The 22,400-nt window shown below is 56.0% G+C and overlaps 3 protein-coding genes and 1 long non-coding RNA gene across 22 annotated transcripts, besides 17 other annotated features; 1 reads left to right on the top strand and 3 right to left on the bottom strand.

Annotated features, from left to right (window-relative positions):
- Positions 1-112: 112 nt before the first annotated feature.
- B4GALT2 (beta-1,4-galactosyltransferase 2) lies at positions 113-12,074 on the bottom strand. Of its 5 annotated transcripts, none has more exons than XM_017002717.2 (7): positions 11,773-12,074; positions 9,811-10,170; positions 9,360-9,595; positions 6,229-6,419; positions 5,884-6,006; positions 5,663-5,767; positions 113-986 (listed from the first exon to the last, which is right to left on the bottom strand). In XM_017002717.2, exons 2-7 carry the CDS (start codon positions 10,121-10,123, stop codon positions 836-838), a joined length of 1,119 nt encoding a protein of 372 aa, XP_016858206.1. In that variant the 5' UTR covers positions 10,124-10,170; positions 11,773-12,074; the 3' UTR covers positions 113-835. The 5 variants fall into 5 exon arrangements, with proteins under 5 accessions (XP_016858206.1, XP_016858205.1, NP_001005417.1 ...); XM_017002716.1 differs by lacking the exon at positions 11,773-12,074 and adding an exon at positions 11,668-11,735 and having other exon boundaries at positions 9,811-10,175; NM_001005417.2 differs by lacking the exon at positions 11,773-12,074 and adding an exon at positions 10,670-10,779 and having other exon boundaries at positions 9,811-10,175.
- Positions 8,644-9,233: an enhancer, noted in NCBI's record as "H3K4me1 hESC enhancer chr1:44447723-44448312 (GRCh37/hg19 assembly coordinates)". NCBI's record gives its function as "activates a minimal SCP1, AML or CMV promoter by ChIP-STARR-seq in naive H9 embryonic stem cells {active_cell/tissue: H9 hESC(naive)}" and the evidence as "EXISTENCE:reporter gene assay evidence [ECO:0000049][PMID:30033119]".
- Positions 11,598-12,189: an enhancer, noted in NCBI's record as "H3K27ac hESC enhancer chr1:44444767-44445358 (GRCh37/hg19 assembly coordinates)". NCBI's record gives its function as "activates a minimal SCP1, AML or CMV promoter by ChIP-STARR-seq in primed H9 embryonic stem cells {active_cell/tissue: H9 hESC(primed)}" and the evidence as "EXISTENCE:reporter gene assay evidence [ECO:0000049][PMID:30033119]".
- Positions 11,701-11,810: a silencer, noted in NCBI's record as "silent region_800". NCBI's record gives its function as "represses an Ori minimal core promoter by ATAC-STARR-seq in GM12878 lymphoblastoid cells {active_cell/tissue: GM12878}" and the evidence as "EXISTENCE:reporter gene assay evidence [ECO:0000049][PMID:35858748]".
- Positions 12,081-12,180: a silencer, noted in NCBI's record as "silent region_799". NCBI's record gives its function as "represses an Ori minimal core promoter by ATAC-STARR-seq in GM12878 lymphoblastoid cells {active_cell/tissue: GM12878}" and the evidence as "EXISTENCE:reporter gene assay evidence [ECO:0000049][PMID:35858748]".
- Positions 12,190-12,780: an enhancer, noted in NCBI's record as "H3K27ac-H3K4me1 hESC enhancer chr1:44444176-44444766 (GRCh37/hg19 assembly coordinates)". NCBI's record gives its function as "activates a minimal SCP1, AML or CMV promoter by ChIP-STARR-seq in primed H9 embryonic stem cells {active_cell/tissue: H9 hESC(primed)}" and the evidence as "EXISTENCE:reporter gene assay evidence [ECO:0000049][PMID:30033119]".
- Positions 12,781-13,372: an enhancer, noted in NCBI's record as "H3K4me1 hESC enhancer chr1:44443584-44444175 (GRCh37/hg19 assembly coordinates)". NCBI's record gives its function as "activates a minimal SCP1, AML or CMV promoter by ChIP-STARR-seq in primed H9 embryonic stem cells {active_cell/tissue: H9 hESC(primed)}" and the evidence as "EXISTENCE:reporter gene assay evidence [ECO:0000049][PMID:30033119]".
- Positions 12,989-16,324, bottom strand: ATP6V0B (ATPase H+ transporting V0 subunit b). Of its 4 annotated transcripts, NM_004047.5 has the most exons (8): positions 16,177-16,324; positions 15,436-15,484; positions 15,111-15,194; positions 14,905-14,982; positions 14,625-14,694; positions 14,460-14,511; positions 14,068-14,258; positions 12,989-13,303 (listed from the first exon to the last, which is right to left on the bottom strand). In NM_004047.5, the coding sequence occupies exons 1-8, from the start codon at positions 16,241-16,243 to the stop codon at positions 13,277-13,279; spliced, it is 618 nt and encodes a 205-aa protein (NP_004038.1). In that variant the 5' UTR covers positions 16,244-16,324; the 3' UTR covers positions 12,989-13,276. The 4 variants fall into 4 exon arrangements, with proteins under 4 accessions (NP_004038.1, NP_001281262.1, NP_001034546.1 ...); NM_001294333.2 differs by having other exon boundaries at positions 12,989-14,258; NM_001039457.3 differs by lacking the exon at positions 15,436-15,484.
- Positions 15,505-16,337: an enhancer, noted in NCBI's record as "H3K27ac hESC enhancer chr1:44440619-44441451 (GRCh37/hg19 assembly coordinates)". NCBI's record gives its function as "activates a minimal SCP1, AML or CMV promoter by ChIP-STARR-seq in naive H9 embryonic stem cells {active_cell/tissue: H9 hESC(naive)}" and the evidence as "EXISTENCE:reporter gene assay evidence [ECO:0000049][PMID:30033119]".
- Positions 15,786-15,835: a silencer, noted in NCBI's record as "silent region_798". NCBI's record gives its function as "represses an Ori minimal core promoter by ATAC-STARR-seq in GM12878 lymphoblastoid cells {active_cell/tissue: GM12878}" and the evidence as "EXISTENCE:reporter gene assay evidence [ECO:0000049][PMID:35858748]".
- Positions 16,236-16,285: a silencer, noted in NCBI's record as "silent region_797". NCBI's record gives its function as "represses an Ori minimal core promoter by ATAC-STARR-seq in GM12878 lymphoblastoid cells {active_cell/tissue: GM12878}" and the evidence as "EXISTENCE:reporter gene assay evidence [ECO:0000049][PMID:35858748]".
- Positions 16,338-17,171: an enhancer, noted in NCBI's record as "H3K27ac hESC enhancer chr1:44439785-44440618 (GRCh37/hg19 assembly coordinates)". NCBI's record gives its function as "activates a minimal SCP1, AML or CMV promoter by ChIP-STARR-seq in naive and primed H9 embryonic stem cells {active_cell/tissue: H9 hESC(naive and primed)}" and the evidence as "EXISTENCE:reporter gene assay evidence [ECO:0000049][PMID:30033119]".
- LOC124904167 (uncharacterized) lies at positions 16,419-17,919 on the top strand. 2 transcript variants are annotated; one of them, XR_007066052.1, is made up of 2 exons: positions 16,419-16,841; positions 17,816-17,919. It is a non-coding gene; the product is annotated as an uncharacterized LOC124904167 (long non-coding RNA). The 2 variants fall into 2 exon arrangements; XR_007066053.1 differs by having other exon boundaries at positions 17,397-17,919.
- Positions 16,536-16,585: an enhancer, noted in NCBI's record as "active region_930". NCBI's record gives its function as "activates an Ori minimal core promoter by ATAC-STARR-seq in GM12878 lymphoblastoid cells {active_cell/tissue: GM12878}" and the evidence as "EXISTENCE:reporter gene assay evidence [ECO:0000049][PMID:35858748]".
- Positions 16,636-16,755: an enhancer, noted in NCBI's record as "active region_929". NCBI's record gives its function as "activates an Ori minimal core promoter by ATAC-STARR-seq in GM12878 lymphoblastoid cells {active_cell/tissue: GM12878}" and the evidence as "EXISTENCE:reporter gene assay evidence [ECO:0000049][PMID:35858748]".
- On the bottom strand, positions 17,915-21,274 carry DPH2 (diphthamide biosynthesis 2). 11 transcript variants are annotated; one of them, NM_001319170.2, is made up of 6 exons: positions 20,962-21,274; positions 20,576-20,688; positions 20,095-20,378; positions 19,214-19,897; positions 18,950-19,126; positions 17,915-18,869 (listed from the first exon to the last, which is right to left on the bottom strand). In NM_001319170.2, exons 4-6 carry the CDS (start codon positions 19,800-19,802, stop codon positions 18,745-18,747), a joined length of 891 nt encoding a protein of 296 aa, NP_001306099.1. In that variant the 5' UTR covers positions 19,803-19,897; positions 20,095-20,378; positions 20,576-20,688; positions 20,962-21,274; the 3' UTR covers positions 17,915-18,744. The 11 variants fall into 11 exon arrangements, with proteins under 11 accessions (NP_001306099.1, NP_001306100.1, NP_001375.2 ...); NM_001319171.2 differs by having other exon boundaries at positions 20,064-20,318; NM_001384.5 differs by having other exon boundaries at positions 20,095-20,318.
- Positions 18,402-19,601: an enhancer, noted in NCBI's record as "CDK7 strongly-dependent group 2 enhancer chr1:44437355-44438554 (GRCh37/hg19 assembly coordinates)". NCBI's record gives its function as "activates an origin of replication core promoter dependent on BRD2, BRD4, P300/CBP, MED14 and CDK7 cofactors, with strong dependence on CDK7, by STARR-seq in HCT116 cells {active_cell/tissue: HCT116}" and the evidence as "EXISTENCE:reporter gene assay evidence [ECO:0000049][PMID:35650434]".
- Positions 18,402-19,931: a biological region, named in NCBI's record as "CDK7 strongly-dependent group 2 enhancer GRCh37_chr1:44437355-44438554".
- Positions 19,387-19,931: an enhancer, noted in NCBI's record as "H3K4me1 hESC enhancer chr1:44437025-44437569 (GRCh37/hg19 assembly coordinates)". NCBI's record gives its function as "activates a minimal SCP1, AML or CMV promoter by ChIP-STARR-seq in primed H9 embryonic stem cells {active_cell/tissue: H9 hESC(primed)}" and the evidence as "EXISTENCE:reporter gene assay evidence [ECO:0000049][PMID:30033119]".
- Positions 19,932-20,478: an enhancer, noted in NCBI's record as "H3K4me1 hESC enhancer chr1:44436478-44437024 (GRCh37/hg19 assembly coordinates)". NCBI's record gives its function as "activates a minimal SCP1, AML or CMV promoter by ChIP-STARR-seq in primed H9 embryonic stem cells {active_cell/tissue: H9 hESC(primed)}" and the evidence as "EXISTENCE:reporter gene assay evidence [ECO:0000049][PMID:30033119]".
- Positions 20,964-21,243: an enhancer, noted in NCBI's record as "active region_928". NCBI's record gives its function as "activates an Ori minimal core promoter by ATAC-STARR-seq in GM12878 lymphoblastoid cells {active_cell/tissue: GM12878}" and the evidence as "EXISTENCE:reporter gene assay evidence [ECO:0000049][PMID:35858748]".

Raw genomic sequence — 22,400 nt, 5'->3', positions numbered from 1 at the left:
CCGGGTCAGGTTTACTTGTTGGGCCAGGTTCCCCAAGTGCCCTTCCACCACAACACACTCAGGGTAACCACGTTCAGGGACCCGACCCCCACCCCCAAACAGACAAGGGAGCTGCTCCATTCACGTTTTTTACTAAAGCACCCACACAAGTTTCTGTGCAATGTACAAACACAAGCCGGCCCTGGGGCTCCTGCCTCCTCTCTCAGACAGGGAGGCGGGAACCAGACTTACTGATCCAAGCCCCACCTGCCTCCCATGCAAAGGCCAACCCCAAGATCCCAGGCAGCGACACAGCATCCCCTCTGGTCCCCTCCTGGGGCTGCTCCTCAGCAGGGGGCGCACCAAAGCTTGCCCCCTACAATGTTGAATGAAAAAGGTTTCCCCTCCCCTGGGAGCAAGGGGGTTCCCAAGAGCTGAGAATTCCCCCTGGAAGAGACACTGCCCCCTAGACATACCTCCCACCCTTCCAGGCCCTAGGGGACTCAAGGGGGGGAAACTGAGGCACAGAGAGGTGGAGTGACCTAGCCCAGGCCACTCTGCGAGGCAGTGCAGGGGCTGGCCCGACCCTGACAGTGACTGGGGCTGGGCTAGGGGGAGGGGGTCGGGAAGGAGGGTTGACTCCAAAGAGGGCCACACTTGAAGAGCCTGCCCAGGCAGGAGGCCCCCCAAAGTGGGTTCTGAAACTTCCAGGTGTAGCTAGGGGGCCTAGTGAAGACCCTTGGAAAACAGAGCCCAGTCTCAGTCCTGGAGGTCCTCCACAGAGCAGCTGCCAGCCAGGCTGTGGTCAGTCCTCTGGCAGGCAATCTTCGGCACCGAGAGCCTCTGTCCATTAGTGTCAGCCCCGAGGGGGCCACGACGGAGGCCGCCCAATGTCCACTGTGATATTGGTGAAGAGTGGTTGCCGAGACACCTCCAAGACCTGGTACCGCACTGACCCAATGCCGTCCCGCTTCATGGTCAGCTTCGTGTTTTGAATCTTGGTAAACCTAGATAGGATGGAAATGGTCCACATCAGGGCTAACAACTGTAAACTAAAAATAAAATCCTACACCCCCCAACCAACTAAATGGACCCCCTTTTGGCCAAGGGGACCCCAGGGAACCTTAAAAACAGGGTTTCCAGCTATGATGGGAAGGGACGTCAAACATGCCATGTTATGCCCACGCCCTTTTGCAGCTTAGACACAACAAATGACCAGCATTAACGTCAAAGCAGAGATCACAAGACTGACAGAATGCATTGTTTGTGTCAATAAGATACCTAATTATAAATAGGATCTAAGGCCATGCCAGGCAAGGGTTAAGTCTTGCACCTCTGCACTTAAAGAAGAGACTATGCTCTAACTGCCGCGAGGATTTTCTTTTTCTGTAGCAGCTAAACAAGTACAGGACTTGAGATAACCAATATTAAAACAATTTGTATAATGTGGTAATATAAATAATAGAAAAAAATTTGCAGCTCACCCACTGCCAGATGCTGACCCCTACGCCCCTGTTCCACAAGCCATAATTATAGCTTTGGTGGGACAAGAGACTGATCTCAGTAACTTTCTCCTGATAAGACCATCGGCCATGGACTGGTTCTAGCCAGCTTACAGAGGCTGCGCACTTGAGTGCTTTTGTCTTTTTGACGTATGGGGCCTAACTGCGATATATTTAAATATTAAGTCTCCACCCCAAGGTGAACATGGATGGTATATAACATGCATGTTTGTTCGATATGCATATGTCAGGACCCCCTCCGTAAATATTCATAGCTCCTCCAGTAACCTGTTGACCAATCCATTCAACTAAAATTCCTATCTCACTCCTCCCTCCCTCAAAGTGCCTGTTAAGGCTTTGGCTGGAGGCTCTGCTTCCTAGCCAGTGGGATGGCCAGCCTGCAGGTTGTAACCCTTTATAAAAGAGAAATAAAGTCTCCTTTTCAAATTTATTGATCTAGTGATTTTTTTTTTTTTTTTTTTGAGACAGAGTACAATGGCACCACCTCGGCTCACTGCACCCTCCACTTCCCAGGTTCAAGCGATTCTCCTGCCTCAGCCTTCTGAGTAGCTGGGATTACAGATGCCTGCCACTGCGCCAGCTGATTTTTGTATTTTTAGTAGAGATGGGGTTTCACCATGTTGGTCAGGCTGGTCTCGAACTCCTAACCTCAGGTGATCCACCCGCCTTGACTACCCAAAGTGCTGGGATTATAGGCATGAGCCACCTCATCCAGCTGATCTAGTGATTTTTAAGTTAACACCACCAAACCCAATATGGGATCTCTGGGGCCTAGGCTTAAGCCAATCTGGCTCCTTCCAGGGTTGATTTGGCAGGAGCCCTTCTGCTCCTGCATTGGCCCTCAAAACAGAGATGTCAGCTGCTCCAGTCAGAAAACAGACGTCTGACACCCTCACAAATCTCTCAGCTCAGACTTTTTTTTTTTTTTTTTTTTTGAGACAGAGTCTTGCTCTGTTGCCTAGGCTGGAATATAGTGGCGCGGTCTCGGCTCACTGCAACCTCTGCCTCCTGGGTTCAAGCGATTCTCCTGCCTTAGCCTCCTGAGTAGCTGAGACTACAGGTGCACACCACCACGTCCGGCTTTTTGTTTTGGTTTTTTGAGACGCTCTCTTTTTTGAGAGTCTTGCTCTGTTGCCCAGGATGGAGTACAGTAGTGCAGTCTCAGCTCACTGCAACCTCTGCCTCCTGGGTTCAAGAGGTTGCCTCCCAACCTCCTGCCTCAGCCTCCCGAGTAGGTGGGATTACAGGCGCCCACCACCACACCCAGCTAATTTTTTTGGTATTTTTAGTAGAGATGGGGTTCACCATTTTGGCCAGGCTGGTCTCGAACTACTGACCTCAGGTGATCTGCCCACATTGGCCTCCCAAAGTGCAGGGATTACAGGCATGAGCCACCGTGCCCCGTCTTTTTTTTTTTTTTTTTTTGTATTTTTGGTAGAGACAAGGTTTCACTATGTCGGCCAGGCTGGTCTCGAGCTCCTAACCTCAAGTGATCTGCCTGCCTCAGTCTCCCAAAGTGCTGGGATTACAGACATGAGCCACGGTGTGAGGTCAGCTCAGACCTTTCTAAGCCTGAGACCAGGCATCCCACAGGCACTTCAAGCGCAATCAGATGCATCATTTTTACTCCCCACGCCTGTGCCATTTTCTCTGTTCCTCGTTCTTTAGTGACTCTCTTGCCAGCTATTTATTGAGCACCACCATGTGCCAGGCTGTGCTCTAAGCACCAAGGCTACTGCCATGGCCATGACAGGTGGGGTCCTTCATCTCAGGGCAAGTTGGCTTCTCTAGGGGAGGCAGGTAACAGAGAAAACATCGGAGTGCTAAGAGAGACAAGAGGGCATATGTGACACTGAGCTAAGGGCAGGGGCAAAGCACTCCAGGTAGAGGTCAGAGCACATGGTGACCCTAAATTGGGAATAAGATTTTGCACAGCTGAGTGGCTAAACCTGAATGGGGCACGTGGAAAAGCAGAATATTAGCTTGGAGGTTCAAGTACACCGTGCAAGGGCAGGGCTCTAAGTCAGAGCGAGCAGCTCATGTTTTCATTCTCACAGAATGAAATGTGTAAAGGCTCTGAGAAATGTTTAACCCAGTTGGGGGCCAAGCCATAAACAGGGAAACCAGTTGGAGGCCACTGCAGTAGTCCAGGCAGGATCCCAGAGGTTGGACTAAGGTAAAGGTAGTAAAGGGGGAAAGCAAATGGACTCAAATATGTTTTAGGGGTGGCAGTGATATTACTCGCTGATGGGTTTGGATATGTAGGGTGAGGAAAAGAAGAATCCAGAACTCCCAGATTTTAGGCAACAGCAACTAGGTAGAGAGAGTTCACAGTTTGTGAACTCTGTGAATCTGGTATCAGGCTGGCTGGGAGAAGGGCCTAAAGGGTGTGTGAAATGTAAACAAGGGCTTCCTGACGCTGCTCTGTGACTTGTGCTAAACTTTCTGGGGGTGGCAGACCCAGAGTAGTCATACCCAATCCATGAATCCAACATTCACAGAGTTCTTTAAGCCAGAAACTTCTTGCTATCTTGCCACATCTACAACCAAGCCAGACATGTGTAATTGATGGTGGCACTCAGGCAGGCTACTCCTGAAACAGGACCAAGGCTCCTGGCGTGTACTGTGGAGCTCCACTCCTCCCCAGATGCCCTGAAGCCCCTCTCCTCTTGGTCTCTTACCTGTTTCCTGCTGACCATAGTTTTCATCAGAACCACTTTTTCATCAGCTCCCTGTGCCTCCCCAGTGCCTCATGCTTCTCCCAGGCACCAACCCCACACCAGGGCTACAAACCACCTCCCCCACTCCTACCCCGTGTTCAGAGTAGAAAAACCCTCCTGCTCAAGCTGGGGACACAGCACCTCCATCCCCAGGCCCTGTACCACTATGCTCCCTTGGACTCCATCGATTCCTTCAGGCCGGGCTGACTTTCTCTCCTGCTCCACCCAGCGGCTATGCCAGGCTTTCGCCTTCCTGAAGCTCAAACAGTGTGCCTTCTAAACACAAACCCCACCCCGCCTCTCCCTTCTTCAGGTTCTTCCATGACTCCCCAGTCCTCTGGGACAAAAGTTAACCTCCCATCAGGTATTCAAGACCCCTGACATGTACATGGTGAAAGGGCAACAGAAGAAAAACCCCTAACATCCAGACGTGACTTTCCCCCGCCCCACTGTCACTATCAGCCTTCAGAGATCTTAAAACCAAATAGTTTCAGACTCTCGGTATGTATCATACATGTTCACATTCCAGAATCTTCCAGATATGATTCTCCTTATCCAGGCTGGCTTCCTCTATTAGCCTGGGGAATGTAGCACTGTGCCCAAGGTAGGTGTGAGGCAAATATTTGTTAAATGAGTAACTATTTCAAACTCCAGGTTACCATCACCTCCTCCAGGAAGGCTTCCATCACCAGTCCCTCTTCTGCCAAGACAACACCTTGCCTTGATGACCTTGTGCTATAACTGCCTTTTTCCATGACTATCTCCCTGCCTGGAATGAACTTCGTAAGGGAAAGCACGGATTGGGTGTGACTACTCTGGGTCTCCCACCCCCAGAAAGTTTAGCACAAGTCAGAGCAGTGTCAGGAAGCCCTTGTTTACATTTCACACACCCTTTAGGCCCTTCTCCCAGCCAGCCTGATACCAAATGTGGCTACCTCCTAAGAGATACATCCACCTCCTTCAATTTCAGAGGGGTGGGCACTGTCTTTCCACACCCCCTTCCCATACTGCTCAGGTCCCCTTTGTCAGGTCCACAGGAGCTGTGCCCAGCACCCATTAGCTCGTGTCCTATCTGCCCCGGCAGGGGTCCCACAGGTGCACAAGTGAGGTCTTCGAGGGCACCAATAGGAATGCAATCTACTCAATGACTATTTAGGCCCTGACATTAAATTCTGGTCACCTCTAGGAATCAGGCCAGAGGTCAGAGATATTGGGCTGAGGCTGGGCTGGGGGTTGGGGGACAACGATCAGGGGTGCCAGCAGTCCTGAGGGGCCTTGGATCACATCAGGGAATCAGTGGCACTGGGAGTCACCTTTTTGGAGTCAAGGATGCTTGGAGGTCCCCCACTGGGGGATCAGGGATTGGGCCACTTGGGGTCAAGAGTTGGGGATATTGGGAAGTTGCCTCTGGGGAGTAAGGGGTGAGGGTGCTGGGGTCACCTCTGAGGGTTAGGTTCGTTATGCTTGTCGCGGTCGTGCTTGATCATGCGGTAGCGGCCGATTCGGATGTCTGGGCGTGAGATCTTCATCCCAGTCAGGGAGATCCTGAGGATGGGGACGGACAGACTGGAACAGGCTCCAGGAAGGGCAAAGAACCCCACCCAGTCTGCACCCCCCCTCCCCCCCCCACCCAGCCTATTCCCCACCGCGTGCTTACTCACCGGTTGAAGATGTCATCATCCTCGCCACCCCAGCCCCAGTACTCATTGGGGAAGCCATTGATTCTCAGAAACTGAGCCTTACTCAGGCCTGACACACCTCCAAAGTAGCCAGCATAGGGAAGCCTGTGGCATGGGAAGGCAGGTGTCAGTAAGGGTCCCAAGGGGACTCCAGGGGAAGGACCAGAGACCAGGTCGGGGGGAATGTCCAATGGGGTCCAGGGAGGATCCAGCCTCGCCAGTGGGGTCTGGGCCACAGCCAGGAGCAAGCGGGGCTCGGGGGCTGGAAGTGGGCCTGCGTCTGGTGGGGGCAGGAGGGCTGGGTCCAGCTGAGAAGAGAGCCCTCACCGGAAGCCAAACTTGTCCATGGCAATGGCAAAGTGGCGGGGTTGGTCGCCGCAGCGGTATAGGTTGCGGTCATCCATGGGGACCAGGTCCACATCGCTGAAGATGAAGCAGTCATAGGCGGCATCCTCCTTCAGCGCCTCTAGGAAGCCCACGTTAAGCAGCTTGGCCCGGTTGAAGGTGTCCTCACCATGCTGGGTAGGGGGAGGAGCAGGTCAACCCTGGGCCTGTGACCAACAAGCACCTGCCCTTTTGCCACTCTCCAGAGCAGTCTCTGGGGATCTACCAGCCCCCTCGCTGCATGGCTCCTCCAGGCTCTCAGGATCTAGTCCAGCTTCTCGACCGGGATCTGGCCTACAAAGGCCTTTCATATGTGGCTCCAGCCTCCTCTCTGGCCACTGCCCTCAGGTCCCGAGGCCCAGCCACACAACATCCCTCAGCAGCCCCGGAATATGCCAGACTCTTCCTTGCCTCCAGGCCTTGGGGTTAGCAGTACCTGTGCTTGTCACACTCAGGGCTGGAGCGGCTCCCCTGACCACACTTCCCCACCCCAGTACGCTTATTCCTTCCTTCCCATGGGCTTCCTTTATGCCAATACCCATTGACAACGTCAGGTGGAGTTCTCATCTCATTCACTCATTCAAACATGCCCTGTGGCGCTCTCTCCTTTGTGCTAGCGGGGATTCTGGAGATGGCCAGCCCTGGTCCCCTCCCTGCTGTGTATAGAGTCATGCAGTGAGACAAACAACGAATGCCCCAAATGACCAGTGTCTAAGATGCAGGAGCCTCAGGCTCCCTGGAGCTGCATCCGGCTGCCTGGGCAGCCTCTGAGACCAGGACAGGTCTGGGCTAGATTCACTTGTCTCTCCAACAAAATGACAAGCATAGGGTCTATAGGCAGTCACAGCCCAGCAAGCCTGGGGTCCCCTGAGAATTGGGGCTGCAGGGGTCCTGGCCATGTAGGCCTAAGCACCAGACTCTGGACTAGGACTAGCAGGGAGCATTCAGTGGGAGGCGCTGACCCCTGAGCCCCTGCCCCAACCTGCAGTCTCCAGGCTAGAACCAGAAAGGTTCCTGGAGAGGGGATCGGTGAGTGGCCTTTCTGGAATGAGCGGAGAGAAAGGCCCTCTTCTCCACCAGCAAAGCCACTGCCAGAAGAGGTGGGAGCTGCTCCCCTCGGGAACCCTGACCTGCCCAGCCCTGCCAGCTCTCTTCTCTCCCTCTCCTGCACCTCCTCTTCCCCCAGCCCTTGGAGAGACCATCGCTTTCCTCCCAGCTCAGCAGCACTCCTTCTGACCTCTCACCAGCCAGGAGCCCTGTGTCTCTCCCACATGGCTCATAAACATGCTCAATCCTCTCCCAACTGAAAAAACAAACCTCCCTCCAGCCACCACCCTACCTTTTGCCTTCCCTTCTCAGCAGGGATTTTTTTTTAAAGAGTTGTCTCTAATTGGTTATTTCCATTTCGTCAAATCCGATTCCTTCTTCAACCCACTGCAATCTGCTTCCGCCCCCACCATGCCCCTGAAATGGCTCTCGCTGGGCCCACCTTGTTGCTAAATCCACTGGACGAGTCTTGGTCCACATCCCTCCTCACACCCCCACAGTGCCCATGCAGCTGCCATGTCTCCTTCCTGACACTGACTGCCGGGTTTCCGGGATCCCACACTCCCCTGGGTCTCCTCCAGCCCTTCTGGCCAAGCCTCTCGGCCTCTGTAGCGGCCTCTTTCTCCCTCCATCCCTGAAGTGCTGGCTTCCTCCTCTCATGCCCCTTGCTCCCTGGCAGGTCAGACGTTGTTGGTTTTAGGGACCAGACCGTCTTCATCCTGGTGCTCCCAGATCCCTCTCTCCACTGCAGACCTCCCTTCTGGGTCCAGACTCATTTGTCTAACTGCCTGCTAAACATGTACTTCCCACAGGCGCTCAAACTCATCACACGCAAGAAAGGATTCAGAGTCACACTCCCCCAGAGCTGGCCCAGCTCCTGTGTCCCCATCTCACTCAGACACAGCCATCCCCACAGCCAACAGCCAAGGCGGAAACCCTTGCGCTGTCCTGACGTCGCTCTTTTCTCACTCTCCACTACTTGCGTAACAACCCCACTTCTTCCCCGCGACTCCCGCCCCACACATCCGCAGGGTCACCGCCTCTTTCCTGGGCATCGTCCTCTCTTCCAAACGGGCCACGCTGTCTCTAATCTCCCCTCTCCATCCATGCTCCATATGCAACCAGAGTGACCTTTCTACAAAGCAAACACGCAAGTCACTCTCTCCTTACAACCTTACATGGTGCCCTGTCACTTTTGCGCTGGACTTACTGCCAGCATGCCTCCCAAGACATTTCTCAGTTTGACTTCCAACTCCTCCAGCCTCATCTTTGCTACCCAGTCCACATGCTGGACACCACACCTCAGCCAATAGTTCGTGAACACGAGGCCAGTTATCTTGCTGGCCCTGCATCCTCCAGGTCCCTCTGCCTAGAATGCTGGCTTCTGCAGCCCCTGATGCCTGCTCATCCCGCAAGACCCATCTCAGCAACTGCTTCCCAACCCCAGGGCTGGACTGGGGCCCTCTGTGCTCCCACGGCCCCCTGCTCCACCTCCACTTGTGTCCCATCATACGGGAGGGACCCATGTCCAAGTCTAGGAGGTCTCTGTGGTCGGCGGGGGCGGGGGGGCCTGCATCAGAGGTCCCTTCTGGGACCTAGTGGCCAGCCCTAGCCAGGTCCACCAAAGGCCTTAAGATGCTGAGCTGAGTGCCCTGGCCTCAGCTGTGGCTGGCACCTACCCCAAAGGGTTCTACAGGCTTCATCCTTCTTTCAGGGTCTAACTCCCTCTCCTCAGGGCCCTCAACATCTCCTCCTACAGCATACCCAAGGCCTGCACCACCATGGGGTGAGGCCTGCCAAGGGTAGAGAGTGGGGCTCAACCCCTTCTGAGACCATGCACACACCTGCCAGTGTGCATGCCAACATTCACATGCACACACTGTGCGTACACATTCCTGTGCACACTGACAAACACCGACTACCCACGCCCAGGTCCATCCACATATCCACACGGGCAGACAAGGACCCACAAACGCCCCCAACCCACATATATACACCAACAGGCACATGGACCCCCGCATGGGCACCTGGTTGATGACATAGACGCCGTAGCGCAGCCGCTGCCGCCTCAAGATGGGGTGTAGATAGTGGAGCCAGTAGCGCAGGTGGTGTTCCCGGTGTCTAAAGGGGATGATGACCGCCACCGTCTGGGCTGGGGTGCAGTCGGGCGGTGTGTATCGGCCGCCCATGAGCACGCCTGGGTTCTCCCTCTGCACCCGCTCCAGGGGCATGGGTGAGGTGAACTCGATCAGCAGTCTGCCCACTGCAGACAGGACAGTGTCAGGAATCAGGGCATTGGCCAGAATCCACAGATACCAGCCCCCACCCTCAGCCTGGGGGTGGGCTAGGGAACCCCAAGAATAGCCCTCTTACAACAGACCTGGACCCCTGGCACACCCCTGGGTCCAGATGCCATTTCTCTAGTCAAACCAATAAAACCCTGTTTCCCCACAGGCAGGCCCTACCCTCCAGGCTCACCAAGACCAGGTGGCGAGTCAGGACAGGGTGGCAGCGTGGGAGCCGTGGGACCGGGCAGGGCACTGGGGACCTCAGGGAGCCCGGAGCTAGAGGCGGTGGCGTTGGGCCGGGAGCAGTTGCTGCTGCTGCTGCTGCTGCTAGCAGCTGGGTGGAGGGCATGGGCAGGGCCTCGGGCACTGAAGCGGCTGAAGAAGGCCAGGTGCTGGGCGTAGACGTCAAAGTAGAGGATGACGGCCACGAGGAAGTGCAGCAGGCAGAGAAGGAGCACAGCCTTGCAGACGCGCTCCAGCGTCCCCCCCAGCAGTCTGCTCATCCCGCAGGCGGCCACTGGCCCGCCCAGTGGGCCCGGGCATCCGGCTGCTGGCCTGAGCAGGGTGGGAGGGAAACAGATCCAGCAGGTCAGGGCAGGACAGGCAAGGCTGCCCACCTACCTCCCACTCAGCTGCTCACACTCGTGGGCCACACCTCACACTGACCTGCTCATACCCTTTCACACTCACAGACTCAAGAATTTACCTCCAAACAGACACCCAGGCACAGTTCCCGGCAACTCAGTACTCACATCCTCAAGCACACCCCACTACTAAGCCACATACATTTACCTTCCTCCACCTCACTGACACACACACTCAGGCACTCACCCTTATTGCACAACTCTACACACACACTCACGCATTCCCAGGAACACAGACACGTGAACTCTAACCACACTGGTTTGTACCTAAGCATGGAGACATGTTTACCTATAGACCCCCATGTGCCCCTGTGCCCCTGAGAACAGACACCTCACATGGCAGCATCCTTAACCCAGAACTCATGGCTTGGGGAAGAGGGAAGAGACGGAATACTGTGCACCTACCATGCAGGAGCACTTTATACTCATGACTTCATTTAGTCCTTCCAGGAGCCATGGTGGGAAGTGGTTTGGTCATTCAGATCCCAGCGACAAGCAGGCCAGGCCAACTGGGACCAGGCTGGGAAGTTGCCCTCAGCATCCGGGGGGCCCAAATACAGACTGGATGTTTACAGAATCCCTTCCCACTGGAGCAAAACGTCAAAATACGGGGCAAGGCAGGGGACACCCCTCACTTAAGACCTCAAAGCCAGCCCCTTGGGACTGGGACCAAGACTCTGGGTCCTGCCCAGCACAGCTGGTTCTGATTCCCGGAACGGGATGCTTGGGCCTGGAGATGGGCACAGCACTGGGCATGGCAGGAAGGGGGTCTTGCCTGGGCGATGGCTCCAGCTGTGGTTCCAAGAGAGCGGCAGCCACTTCTGGCAGTGCTTCAGGGAGCAGGGTGAGTCTCACAGGCACACAGAATCACAGGGACACCCTGGTCCCAGCTGGTCACCCACACTCAGACACACAGAGAACTACAGTCACAGACACACCCGGGTGACAGTAACACACTAAGTCCCACACTCACAAACAAGGCCACTGCTCCTGGACTTCCACAGCCATACATCCAGACTCTCAGACAGCTCACACCCAGACCCACGTGCAGACATTCCCACCCTCCCTCCGGCGCAGGGGTTCTGGGTCAGGCTGGCGGCCAGGCTGAGGGGTGCGTTTGGGCGGGGCTGGCAGGCTGAACACGTGGCACCCGCGGACGGGCAGGCCGCACAGACCGGGTGGGTGTGGAGCCTGGGGGCAGGGGGAGTGGGTGGAGGGCAGCGGATGAGGCAAAGGCCAAGGGGAAACGTGTATGGAACGCCTCCCCGCGCCACGAGGCCGGGGCGAGCGAGGACAATGAGGGAGGCCGGCTGGACGCGGGCGGAGAAGCCCAGGAGGGGCGCCGGAGTGGGGGCGGGGTGGGGGCAGCCAGGCCGGGGTCTGGCCGCCGGCGCCTCTCTCACCGGCTCCTGGGTTGGGATCTCGGGGCCGCGCTCGGGGTGCCCCTCGCGGGGCTGGGTCTGGAATCTCGGGGCCCTGGGTGGGGGCCGCGCGCGCCCTCCTCTCACCCGGCGCTCGGGGCTCAGCAGGGGACGCCGCTCCGACTTGGGCAGGGCTCCCGGCTCCGGCGGCTGCGGACGGTTCCGTCCCCCATGGCCCGGCCCCGCCGCCTCCCGCCGCCCGGTCAGCGGCCACCGCGGCCCCCGGGTCGCCTCCCGCCGCCGCCGCCGCCGCCGCCGCCGCGGGCCATGGAGCCGAGCCGCCCCGGGGGGCAGGGCGGGGCCGGGCGGCCGGGCAGACCCACGGACCGGCGGACCCACGGACCACAGCGCCGCCGCCTCCCTCCCGCGCTACGGCGCCTCGGAGGGGCAGGCCCGGCCCGCGCGCCCGCGCGCGCGCCCCCGCGGCCCCCGCCTCCAGCACGCCCGCACCCGCCGCGCGCCGCTGCGAGCCCGCCCTGCCGGCGGCCGAACCCGGGCACCCAGGAGGCACGGACCTGGGAGCGCGGGAGGAAATGGGTCAGGCTCGTCCAAAGGGTGGGCTTAGAGGTCGGACCGGCGAGCGGGTGCAGACCGTGGAGTCCCTTAGCGGGGAGTGGGGATTGCATTGGAGCGCGAACTCCCCAGGAAGGGGACCTGGAGGTTGGGCGGACTCAGGCTGCGGGGCTAGGGATTTGTCAACTCTTTAATTGGACCAAGATTCAAGGTCGGCCAGCAGAGAGGGGGCAGGACCCTTAAAGGCGTGGGCTGGAGGTGGCTGGGGCTTCTGGGGTAACAGGAAACAGGGTCAGGGAAGGAGAAAACGAGATTGGATGGGGTGGGAGGAGCTGCCCTGGGCCCTGGGAACAAGGATCAGAGTAGAGGTTTCTGGGAGGGGCTGCTGCTAGAAGGACAGGACCATCACTGGAGGCAGAGACCACTGCCTAGGCTCCAGGCCTCACAAGGACGGAGATGATGGTGCCCGACTGTACAACCAGGTAAGTAGATGCTGTCAGACAATTCGGGCATGGTGGTCAGTCAGAGCCCTGAGCAAACGGGCCTAGAAGGACTACAGGCACAAACACACCCAGGGGCCCCTATCTGCACACTCCCTCATCCCCAAACAAGTCTGTTTGGGGGTTAGAGTCCACCCAGCACCCGTGCCTCCCCACCTAGGAGCAAGCTCTGTGCAGATCAGAAGTGTGCAGTCAGAAAGCTGACAAGGGATTGGCATGAGGCTGAGGCGTACAGGCCTCTTTACCCTTCCTCTGTGAACGGTGACGCAAGAGGGCAACAGAAGCTGCACTGACCCAGACAAATACCAAGTTTATTTCACAAACACTAGGAAGATGGGTTGAGGGTGGAGGTGGGGGACACAGGTGCGCAGCTGCACAGAGTCAGCAGCAGCAGCCTGCTCCCCGCACTGAGGACTCGGCCTGGACTGCAGTGCCTCCAAATCAACACGCAGCAAGAGGGGAGTGCAGGGAGGGCCCTGAACACCAAGCCTCTGAAAGGCTAAGGGACACAGCTCCAGCTGTCCCAGGAAAACCAGCAATAAATAAAAGTGAGGCACGGCCCCACCCACACATATCATCTAGTCACCCATCTTCACTCTGGAGGTCTGCAAAAAAAGAACAGGAGAAATCAGGCAGGGACAGAGGAATAGGTAAGGCAGTGACAAATGATAGAAGATGACATCTAGCACATGGTTGGATGGACAGACCACAAGAGATATATGACTAACCAGGATGGACACACTGTGACAGACAAGGCAGACAGGGACAGACAACCACAGAGTTACGCTGTGGGACAGACGGAGAGAAGTGGCATATGGATAAAGCTAGTCACTAAGAATCAACTCAGTCAAGCACCCACAGTCACACTCAGACCCTCAGGCTGATCCTTAGTCACAAACTCACACACTGTCAGACAGACTAGACACACACAATTTAGACAATGGTGTCCTACTGACAGGCATGTGAGAGGGAGATACACATAGCTCCGAGAGACAGTCAAACACACCATGACAGACTGATATAGACAGACAAAATTCCATTCTAGTCTAGATCACAAATACAGACTGGAGACATGAAAAGCATGGCAGATAAAATGAGAGAACAGAAAGAGGGAGGACTAAGTGCTATACAGATACAACGCATTAGAAAGGGGGGAAAAAGAACAGGGCTGTTGTCAGTGACACCAAATCAGAGACAAAAATAGAGAGCCCCTGTAGGAGAAAACCAGAAGATGGAAATGAGGAGGTGGAAGCTGTTTGGGGGAATCTATAGTTATAGGTAGAGAAGGAGAGCACTTCAGCTTCTCCAGAAGGAGGGTAAGGCTAGGTTGGGGACAAGGACACAGAGGCTTCCCAAGGGGATTCATCACCTGAAGAATTGCGACGATGACCCCAAAGAGGCCAATGGCGCTGCCAAAGATCTCCACGATGAGAATCTTTACAAAGAGGCTGGGGTTCTGAGCATCGGCCAGGGCAGCCCCACTGCCCACGATGCCCACGCAGACTCCACAGAAGAGGTTAGACAGGCCTACGGTGAGGCCAGCCCCAAACATGGAGTAGCCTGGGAGGATAGAGAGGGGTGCAGTGAGGCTAAGCCAGGAATGGGGGAGATATGGGCTAATGGGGCCAATCACCATCCCCACTCTGCAAAGCAGAAAAAGTAGGTGAGAGAATATCAAAATGATGGCCCAAGCTGGGATGGGGGAGAGTGGAAGCAGGCATGAAGTCCCAGCATTTTGCATTCATACGCCCATCCACCCACCTGCATGGTAGTTCCGATGGCCGATGGCCTTGGGGTCTGTGGCACTGAAAGGCTGAGGGAAGAAGAAAAGTAATCAGAAACCATCCTGATGCACCCCATCCAATCTCTAAGGAATGTGTAGAACACACTGGAATGGATTCCCGCCACCACCCTGGCCTTCCATACCTCAGCCATGTTGCTAATGACAATTGCCATGATGATGCCGTAGATGGCCACAGCCTCACAGAAGATGATGCTGGTAGTGGTAGAGATTAGGGGTAAGGAGTGGAAAGGAGAAAGAAATGAGAAAGAAACCGTCCTTCCTGCCCAGTAAGTCCCCAGCAATCTTTCCCCTATAACATCCCATCCCACAAGGTGGCTTGTCAGAAACAGTATGTCAGATCAAACACACAGGCAGCGCCAACACAGCTGGTTCTGACAAAAGTCCAAGGACCCTGACACTTACCTGACCAGGTTCTTGGTCTTGATCCTGGGGGCCTTCACTCCTCCACCAATGATGGAGGAGCCGGTAATATAGATGCCCCTGGTGGAAGGATAAAAAACTGATGAGCAGAGCCCAAGCTGTCACTGCCCTCAGCATGCCTAAGACCCCAGTGACACCACCTGCCATGACTCAGCCCCTGCCCCCAGTCCCACCACCCCAATACTCACCAGGCTGCCCCAACCACAGACAGGGAGATAGCTAGGCCAATGCCCAGGTTGGACCACATGAAGGGCGAAGTCTCCGTCAGGAACCTGTTGTGGAAGCAGAGAAGAAAGCAGTTCAGCTCTAGCAGGGAAGCGGAGCACAAAATCTTAACCCCTCAAACCCCCTTCAACCCCACCACCAGTTCTACAGGCAACAACTGACCGCGTATTTCCCAAAGGTCCATGTCCCAGGCAGGCAGTGGTGTGGGGGAGGGACTCAGACCAGAGAAAAGAAGAGAGGCTGCAGGGAAGAAGCTTCAAGGGGAATCCTCCCCCTGCCCTCCCTTACCATGCCACATCAAAGCGGAAGCCCAAATCAAAAATGGTGTAGCAGACTCCTGCAGCAGTGAGGGAGAAAAAGGGGGTTACGGGCTGCTCGGTAGAGAGAAGTTCTTCAACCTAAAGTAGCTGCCGAGCTGAAGGGCCACCTCCCTGAAGGGGCGTCCTCAGGCTGCCCCCAGGTGACAGTACAGCTGTGTAGACAGATTCCTCTGCTTAGGCCTCCATTTTCTGCCATTCCCTCGCTAAAACCACCTCCCAGACCAAGCACCTGCGCAGGCAGGGTCGCCACCCGCAAGCCCGAATCCGAGGCGGGACCGAGGGAGCAAGCGCTCCAGCCAGATCCCGCCGGCCCAGTCCGTTCCGCTGTTTACCCAACAAGCTGTGGGTGGGGGAGGGCAAAGCGACTGGGAAAAGAGGAACCGGAGCAGCCGGCTTGTGACCGAGCGGGCCGGTCAGGAGCAAGAAAGGGGGGACAGCAGTGAGACGTGGGAGCGAGGGGAGACAGCGATAGTGGCAGGACGGGGGAGTGCTGCCCTCGCGGCCCCTACCCGCCCGCACCCCTCCTCAAGCAGCTGGAAATCCGGGTCTCCTTTGTCGGAGTCAGAGGCCCTCGCAGGCGCAAGTCCCCAGAGCCTCGGGTGCAGAGCGCGCGGGGGGCCAGTATTCCCCGCAGGCCACTTCCCCGCCGAGTTCCGACCCGGCCAGCTCGGCCGCGATGCTGCTCCCGCCCGCCAGGACCCGGCCTCACCCACGGCCAGCGCGCAGGCCCAGAAGGCCACGAAGACCCCGGAGTAGAGCAGTGCTAGCCCCGTCATGGCGGCGACGGCGGCGGGGGTCGGAACGGCGGGGCCGGAGCTACAAACGCGTCCCAGCGTCCACCGTCCGTCCCGCAGTCTGTCCGCCCGCCCCGCAGCGTCACCTAACTCGCCCACGTGATGCGCCGGTACCACGTGACCCCACGCCGGTTCCCCGCGCAGCGCCGCCGCCCGTCTAGAGCAAGGCGACGCTGGAACCGCAGGCGCTGGGGATTGTGGTAGTTGTAGTCACGCGTCTCGGCGGAGGCTTGGGCGCCCTCCTCTCTAGGAACTTCGACATCTGGCCGGTCCTTCTCGAGTCTCTCCACCTCGCCCTGCCAGCCCTGTTTTATTCCCGAGCCTGCTCGCGGGCCCCTAAGGCGTCCTCTCTGGCAGCCGTGCGTCCTAGCCTGTGGCGGGTGGCGCCGCGCGTGCCCTCTGCCTCACCTTGCTCACGGCGTCTCTCCGCCCCAGTGCGCCTGTTGGCGCTCGCTCCGCTGCCTGGCTAACACCTGCTGTCCTCCGAAATCGTCCTTCCGGCAAGCCTTCCCTAACCCAGTGGCAGGGAAGCGCGTTTGCTGGGCTCCCGCGATGTCCTGGTGATGCTTATTAAGCTTCAGTAAGATGTCACTACCCTGTCGAAATGCCCTGATGGCTCCCATTTCATTCAGGAGAAAAGCCAAAGTTCTCACAATAGCCTGCTAGGCTCCCCACGCCCCTCAGCTGACTTCACCTTCTAATATTCCCCCACTAACTCCCTCCTCTGGCTGCACTGCCCTCCTTGCTATTTCTTTGAACGTGCCAACCATACCGCGACCTCACTGCCCTTGCACTTGCTCTCTCTGCTTCTCCTAACTATACATGCGGCTCATCCTGTAACTTCCTTTCAGTTTTTGCTCACCTTCTTGAAAAGGCCTTCTCTGACCATTCTGTTTAATATTCCACCCCACTTAAACGCTCCTCTGCTTCCCAGCTTTACATTTCTCACGGTACTTACTGATCACCATTTGGCATACTAAGTATTTTATTTGTCCAACTCCCCTGGAAGAGTGGAAGCACCATGGCTTTTGTGTCGCTCACTGCTGTATTTCCAGTACCTGGCACAGAGTGTGTCCTCAGTACATATTTGTAGAACACATGACTGATGCCCACTTTGTCTGGGTTACCTTGTTAGCTTACAGCTCTGCCTCCACCATTAGACTAGGCATTCCCTGAGGGCAGGGACCACATCTCCTTTGTTCACCTTCAATACCCTCGACAATGCCACTGTGACCAGATTCTCAACAAATGTGGGGAAGAAGAGGCGAGTCTTTTCATTTCACCCCTCTCCACCTTTAGGGCCCAGCAACCCCACTTGCTTGAAGCATCCGCCATGTTGGTTCATGTTTAAGCCCAAAGGTCTTTTTCACTCCTTTTCTCCTGACAATTATTTTTTCCTCCAAAAGATCCAGCATAGGTGTTATGCCCTCTGGGAAGCCTCCTCTTAGTCCTTGTCAGGTATCTCCTGTGGGATCCAGCTGTCCCTGGGGCTTCCCTCCTCCCAGATAGAGCTGTTTCACTGTGTACTGACTGCGTATTTAACTCTCTTTCCAGGTACACTGGAAAGGAATCTGGTTAAATACAGTTAACATCTACATCCCAGGACCAGTGCAGGACCTGCAGTATTTCATGAATTAAAAAGAAACACAAAGAGAAAAGGTATCTGGTTTATTTAGGTTGCTGTGATCTCCCTGAGAAATAAGAGTCAGTATAGACCAACGCTGTCCAACCAATAGAACTTTCTGCCATGATGGCATATCCTGTAGCTGCACTGTCCCCTCATGTGGCTGTCTGAACACTTGAATGACTAATGTGACTGAGAAACTGAGCTTTTAATCTTAATTAACTTAAATTTAAGTTTAGCCACATGTATTTAGTGGCTACTGTACTGGACAGTGCAGGTCTAGCTAGACCAGTGGTTCTCAATTGAGGGCAATTTTCCCCCACAGATAACATTTGCCAAGGTCTGGAGATATTTTTGGTTGTCACAACTGGGGGAGTGCTTCTGATGTCTAGTGGGCAGAGGCCAGGGATGCTGCTGAGCACCCTACCATACACCAGACAGCCCCACAACAAAGAATTATCTGGCCCCAAATGTCAAGTACGAGTTTGAGAAACCCTGGTCTAGACTGTCTAGCACCTGCCTTTTGACAAGGACAGACCCTCAACTGCAGCCTGGGAACTGGGATTGGCCAAAGGTCCTGGGCTGCCCTCAGGAAGACAGATGGGTCCAGAGGCCTCAGGGAAGTCCCTAAGCCCTTTATTCCATCAGCCAAACAACACGCATTACTGGGCATGTGCTGAGCTTGTGCCAGTGCCAGGACAGGACAGAGACGGATCCTATCCTGTGAAGGGCTGCCTGCTCTCCCTCCTTCCAGGGTCCTTCAAGGATCTTGGCAGGGGGATGGGAGGTTGGTGCAGGGAGCACTAAAGGTCCTAGCAGCCATTCATAAGTCCATCTATGTCTCCAGCCCCACATGGTATCAGCCGCTTCCCTCATCCTCATAGGCGATGGCAATCCCTCGTCTTCCACTCACAGCTTCTGTCACTGGCGTCTGACCCAGGCGGGGCTCCAGCCCTTGCCAGCTCCGGGAACTAAGGAATGAGGCTGTAGAGGGAGGGGGCTCAGTCTGAGTGCGCTGCATCTGGAGAAAAAGCTCAGCTGGGAGTGGAGACTTGTACATTTACCTGCAGGACTGCTCTCAGCCAGCTCCAGCTGGGGCCGTGGGGTCAGAGCCAAGCTTCCATGATCATTTGATGACTTCCAGGCAGGTGGGGGTCGGAGATCTCCAGTAATGAGTGACACGTCTGGGGTTTCCCACAGCTCTGACTCAGGTGGTGGGAGAGCCACGTGGAAGGGAGAGCCTGAAAGGGAGGAGGAAAGAAAATCCATACTCACCCCCTGACTCCGTGCCCCAGGTTTCCAGCTTAGGCAATGCCCCCACTACTCACCAGGCAATAAGTCCGCATAATGTGTGAGGTGGGGAGCCAGGCCTGGAGGTGGCCAGGCAGGGTTGCAGGCAGCTTCCAGCTCACATGGTGCCAGTATAGGCTGGAAGAAGCTACCAGAAAGCTGGGGGGCTAGAGCACCCAGAGGACAGGCTAATAGCACAAAGACATCCACCTCAGGGAAGTTGGCAAGCTTGGCAGGGGTGGGCCGCCCCAGGGCCAACACATAGCTACGCTTGCCAGCAGCCTGAGTCAGGTTCCGCAAGTGGGCCAGTGCCTCACGGTGTTGGGCTACACCCAGTGTGCCTGCCAGCAGCCCTACCACGCGGGCATCTCTGGCCCTCTCTACCAGATATCGTCTTCGTGCCCTTAGCCGTCCAGCCCGGGCACCCTCATCCTGAGTCTTCCCTGTATCTGGACAGCAGGAGGAGAAGGGTTGACCTGGTGCCCACCCCAAGAGCAGCCGACTCAGGTCTGGGTCAAGGTCTGGGTCAGGGCTGGCCTTAGAGCCCCCTACATAGAAGGCACCATACTCTTCTAGACGCCTCCCTGGGGCAAGGGGGAAGCGGCGCCCAAAACGCTCTAGGGGCATAGGCTCTGGACTCAGGGAACCCACTGGTTGGGGAAAAGCTGGGCTGGAGACTAGCAGGTCCAGGTACCGTGGGCGCAGGAGAGTAGCCAAAGCCTCTGGAAGAGAAGGAGGTAGTGTTGAGGTTGGAGCCTGGCAAAGCAGGAGCTCCCTCATCCCCAGGAGACTAAATATGACCCAGTAGGCTGGGGCCAAGCCCATATCAAGAGTTCTATGGATGGTATATGGAAATGGGGAAATTAAGGCATAAAGCAGTTGGCTCACCCTTTGTGCATACACAGGCAAAACCCCTTACCCAGGGCATGGGCACAGGCCGGCTCACTCAGCAGCACCACAGGCGCTTTGGGGTCTGGGTTCTGGGCCTCAAAGGCCTTGACACAGAGCTCCAAGGCCACAGAACGTTGACGAAGCACGAAGGCAACGGGCAGTGGGCGGGCTGGAGGGCTTAAGCAGGCAGGGCCAAAATGTATGAGAGCCTGAGCTCCAGCTTGCTCAGCACCCAGCACATCCACGCAGCAGCTGCAGGGAAGATAGCATCAGAGAAATGGGTTCTCTTCTGGAGGCGAGTTGCTGTCATCACTGGGAAATGTGGTCAGTGAATAAAATGGTTTCATTAAAGGAAGACATTGTCAATGAAAGGAGCTAGCATCAGAAGGGGAGTCATTACCATTATCATCAAGGAGAAACACCACCATTGAAGGCAATCACTGTCATAGACGTAAAACCCCATGAGCCCCGGATCCCCAGGCCTGGCCCACCTAAGGCCAAGTTCACACCTGCCGTAGGCTGTGTCACCCAGAATGAACATCTTTGACCCTGTCGTCTCCTCCAGTCGTGCAGCCACAGCCACAGCATCTCCCAATAGCTGGTCAGGGAACTGCAAGGCAACCTATAAGCATAAACCATGGAGTCAGGGACAGCCTCTCTCCCACTGAGGGCTTCTTTAAAGCAATCTTCCAGGAGCTCCCACTCAACCTTCAAAGCCCCTGGTCCCAGAGGGGCACTCTGCCCCACGTAGTAGGTGGAAGGGAGGGATGGTCAACGCGCTGCGGACAGACTGATTCCCCCACCCTCTCGCCCTCACAAAATCCCCCAAGATCCGGATCCTCTGGGCGACCCATCCCGACAGAGGCGAGCCACCCTTCCCTAAGTCTGTCCTCACTCGTTCACACCCCAGGTCGCGGACAAATCCAGCGACTCGCTCCAGCTCGTACACTCCGTCCAGGTCCGGAAGAGGAGTAAGCAGTCCTGGCACCCCGGTCTCTCGCTGCAGCGCCGCCTCGGCAGGGCTGCTAAACATCGACTCCATGAGGCACAGCTTGGGTGGTGGGATGCAGCGGGGACCTCCCTGGGACAGCTTCGGGGCCTGAGTCCTCTAGAGCAGCCCTCAGGGGGTCAAAATCGCCTTGTGGGGGTAGGGGGAATCACAGTCGGCCTTCAGCCGGTGAGTATCCCCTTCAGCCATCCTAACTACTGTTTCTCCGCTACACGTGGGACTACCGGGGAGGTTACTTCCGGGTTTTAGAGGCGTGGCTGATAGCGATTTTGCCAATCCTAAGTCAGCACAGCTCCCGCCCTCCAATCCCCGCCACCGCCCCGCACAGAGAACCAATGTTCAGCCTGAGTCCCAGGCCAGCCGGAAGTACATCGAGGAAGGCGCGGAGCCTTGTGGGCATTGTAGTTCCCCTGGCCTCCTCTCGGGCGCTGGGAGTCCGGTTCAGCCGACCCGCGGCCATCAGGAACACCGACTTCACTGTTAAGCATTTCACGTGCACTCTATCCTCTGGGCAGTATCACTGCATAATTCTTTCATTCATTCATTTTTTTTTTTTTTTGACAAGGTCTCGCTATGTTGCTTGGACTGGAGTGCAGTGGCGCGATCTCCACAACCTTCACCTCCTGGACTGAAGCCATCCTCCCACCTCTGCCTCTTGAGTAGTTGGGGCTACAGGCGCACCACCACATCCAGCTAATTTTTGTATTTTTTGTAGAGACAGGTTTTTGCCATGTTGCTCAGACTGGTCACAAACTCCTGAACTCAAGCAATCCACTCATCTCGGCCTCCCAAAATGCTGAGAGTACAGACGTGAGCCACCGTGCCCGGCTACACTGCATAATTTTAAACTTGGTGCCGACCGGCTCGGGTTTGAATATTGTGCTTGGTCACTTGCTACTGAGTATCTTAGGAATGTCCCTATGCCCATTTCCTTATCTGAAGAATGGGGAGTTGTGACAATAGTACCTCTTAATAAGATTGTTGTGAGGGTCTAATTAATTTATATACAAAACTTTACAAAGTAGTTCTTTGGATATCGCATGCAGTGAAAGCATTTGCTATTTAATCAGCCAAATACTGAGCACTTACTGTACATTAGGCACTTCATTTTTAGTGTTTACAGTCTTTGGAGTAAGAATTATCCCGAGTGGTACCAAGGACATGACTGGCACATCCTCAAGTCACAGGAGATGCTCTGCACAGCTCCAGCCATCCTCAAACACTGCTGCTTCCCAGCAATACCCCCAGTGCATACCACATAGACCTCTACCCTCCAGCCCCTCACATCCCCTCTACTCCCCATGTTTACTTATATGCAAACACCC

This window comes from Homo sapiens, chromosome 1, assembly GCF_000001405.40.
Source record: "Homo sapiens chromosome 1, GRCh38.p14 Primary Assembly".
In the NCBI taxonomy this organism is placed as follows: domain Eukaryota; kingdom Metazoa; phylum Chordata; class Mammalia; order Primates; family Hominidae; genus Homo; species Homo sapiens.
The sequence above is the reverse complement of the archived record's forward strand: the minus strand, read 5'-3'. Positions and strand labels throughout refer to the sequence as shown.